Here is a 3,221-nt window from a genome sequence, read left to right as displayed (position 1 = left end):
TTTTCTCCTGTTCTATAGGTTGCCTGTTCACTCTGATGGTAGTTTCTTTTGCTGTACAGAAGCTCTTTAGTTTAATTAGATCCCATTTGTCAATTTTGTCTTTTGTTGCCATTGCTTTTGCTGTTTTAGACATGAAGTTCTTGCCCATGCCTATGTCCTGAATGGTATTGCCTAGGTTTTCTTCTAGGGTTTTTATGGTTTTAGGTCTAACGTTTAAGTCTTTAATCCATCTTGAATTAATTTTTGTATAAGGGATAAGGAAGGGATCCAGTTTCAGCTTTCTACATATGGCTAGCCAGTTTTCCCAACACTATTTATTAAATAGGGAATCCTTTCCCCATTTCTTGTTTTTGTCAGGTTTGTCAAAGATCAGATAGTTATAGATATGCGGCATTATTTCTGAGGGCTCTGTTCTGTTCCATTGGTCTATATCTCTGTTTTGGTACCAGTACCATGCTGTTTTGGTTACTGTAGCCTTGTAGTATAGTTTGAAGTCAGGTAGTGTGATGCCTCCAGCTTTGTTCTTTTGGCTTAGGATTGACTTGGCAATGCAGGCTCTTTTTTGGTTCCATATGAACTTTAAAGTAGTTTTTTCCAATTCTGTGAAGAAAGTCATTGGTAGCTTGATGGGGATGGCATTGAATCTATAAATTACCTTGGGCAGTACGGCCATTTTCACGATATTGATTCTTCCTACCCATGAGCATGGAATGTTCTTCCATTTATTTGTATCCTCTTTTATTTCATTGAGCAGTGGTTTGTAGTTCTCCTTGAAGAGGTCCTTCACATCCCTTGTAAGTTGGATTCCTAAGTATTTTATTCTCTTTGAAGCAGTTGTGAATGGGAGTTCACTCTTGATTTGGCTCCCTGTTTGTCTGTTATTGGTGTATAAGAACGCTTTTGATTTTTGCACATTGATCTTGTATCCTGAGACTTTGCTGAAGTTGCTTATCAGTTTAAGGAGATTTTGGGCTGAGACAATGGGGTTTTCTAGATATACAATCATGTCATCTGCACACAGGGACAATTTGACTTCCTCTTTTCCTAATTGAATACTCTTTATTTCCTTCTCCTGCCTGATTGCCCTGGCCAGAACTTCTAACACTATGTTGAATAGGAGTGGTGAAAGAGGGCATCCCTGTCTTATGCCAGTTTTCAAAGGGAATGCTTCCAGTTTTTGCCCATTCAGTATGATATTGGCTGTGGGTTTGTCATAGATAGTTCTTATTGTTTTGAGATACATCCCATCAACACCTAATTTATTGAGTTTTTAGCCTGAAGCGTTGTTGAATTTTGTCAAAGGCCTTTTCTGCATCTATTGAGATAATCATGTGGTTTTTGTCGTTGGTTCTGTTTATATGCTAGATTACGTTTATTGATTTGCATATGTTGAACCAGTCTTGCATCCCAGGAATGAAGCCCACTTGATCATGATGGATAAGCTTTTTGATGTGCTGCTGGATTCAGTTTGCCAGTATTTTATTGAGGATTTTTGCATCGATGTTCATCAGGGATATTGGTCTAAAATTCTCTTTTTTTGTTGTGTCTCTGCCAGGCTTTGGTATCAGGATGATGCTGGCCTCATAAAATGAGTTAGGGAGGATTCCCTCTTTTTCTATTGATTGGAATAGTTTCAGAAGGAATGGTACCAGCTCCTCCTTGTACCTCTGGTAGAATTCGGCTGTGAATCCATCTGGTCTTGGACTTTTTTTGGTTGGTAAGCTATTAATTATTGCCTCAATTTCAGAGCCTGTTATTGGTCTATTCAGAGATTCAACTTTTTCCTGGTTTAGTCTTGGGAGAGCGTATGTGTCGAGGAATTTATCCATTTCTTCTAGATTTTCTAGTTTATTTGCATAGAGGTGTCAACATGTTTATTTAAAATCAATCTTTGTAATATCAGACAACTTGTATTTATTGAATTGGTTCTAGTCAAAATACTTCAACAAGAAATTTCTACACAGAGAAAGACATTTCCGTGTACTTACAAAAACACTCCCTTTTACTTTCTAATAGTTGGCTGTCTTTTGATTACAGTAACTTGGATAAATGTCACACTGCGAACATTAATGGATTAATGTCACCCATATCAATCATACCTAGCTTGAAGGTCATTTTCAAATTAACAGTTTAAAATCAAGTCACCAACTGTTAATGATCCTGCACAATAACTGTTCAGATAACTGTGGACCTATGCCACATTTAATCATATTTCAAATAGTCTGGGGTAATTCTCCACAAGATTATTCTAAATTATTTCCAAAATGTGTAAATATATTTGCATGTGCACCTTATTCCAAATCTGAATACTAAATTTACTTTGTTTTTATTATCATTTCCTAGTCTCCCCAAAATATCAACCTTACATGTAATATACTATGGTTTTTTAATAACAGTCAATTTTCAACTAGTAAAAACCTGGTAATTAAAACAACAATTTGATGTAATATACAACCTGGCTGTGAAGAGAAAAGCAAAGTTATATGAAAGATACATTTTGAAAGAATGTGAGACATCCAAAAAGTACTTTGCATGAGCCATTTTTTACTGTTTGGATCATGAAATTAGACTAAATTAGCTTTAAATATTATAAATAGAGTTTTATAAGTTAAGTTTTACTAAAGCTTTTGGGGGATAATGTAAATTTAAAAAATGTAAAGGATAGTTTAAGAAGAAAAGCATAAAAATGTAGAAACCAAATTAAATCTACTTAGAAAAATTTTGAAACCCAAGTAATTTGGATACCGATAACCATCAGTGACTCATATCCTGTCCCAAATGTACAGCCTTCCTTTCAGCCAGTTGTTGCTATAATGTTCAACTGAGCTCAGTTTCAGACCAGCACGTGTATTTTTGCCACAACCTAAATAGGTTTAGCTTGAAATCATAGTTCAAAAGTTTCAGATAAAAGTTATGTGGGGAAAAATACATAAACAACTTCAAAGGACAGCTCTTGCTTTGTAGCACAATGATAAAAACTTGTCTAGGATGAAATCCTGTACTGCCCTTGACTAGCTCTGTGACCTTAGGAAAATTAATTAGGTCTTCTGTGCCTCAGGTTTCTCTTCTGTAAAATGGCAATAACAGTAATCAGTCAGGGTTGTTGAGAAAATTAAATGTCATAATTGACAGAAATCATTTAGAACTGTTTCAGGTACAGAGTAAATGCAATGTTAGTTTTAGATATGACTATCATATGGATGACTTTCCATCCTGCTCCA

At 35.4% G+C, this 3,221-nt stretch overlaps 1 annotated feature.

The window, feature by feature from the left end:
* Positions 2,662 to 2,956: an enhancer, noted in NCBI's record as "tiled region #14586; HepG2 Activating non-DNase unmatched - State 24:Quies, and K562 Activating DNase unmatched - State 8:EnhW". NCBI's record gives its function as "activates a minimal TATA promoter and a strong SV40 promoter by Sharpr-MPRA in HepG2 and K562 cells {active_cell/tissue: HepG2 | K562}" and the evidence as "EXISTENCE:reporter gene assay evidence [ECO:0000049][PMID:27701403]".

Source organism: Homo sapiens, chromosome 5, assembly GCF_000001405.40.
Source record: "Homo sapiens chromosome 5, GRCh38.p14 Primary Assembly".
Lineage (NCBI taxonomy): Eukaryota > Metazoa > Chordata > Mammalia > Primates > Hominidae > Homo > Homo sapiens.
Note: the sequence above shows the minus strand (reverse complement) of the source record. Positions and strands in the feature narration are given on the sequence as shown.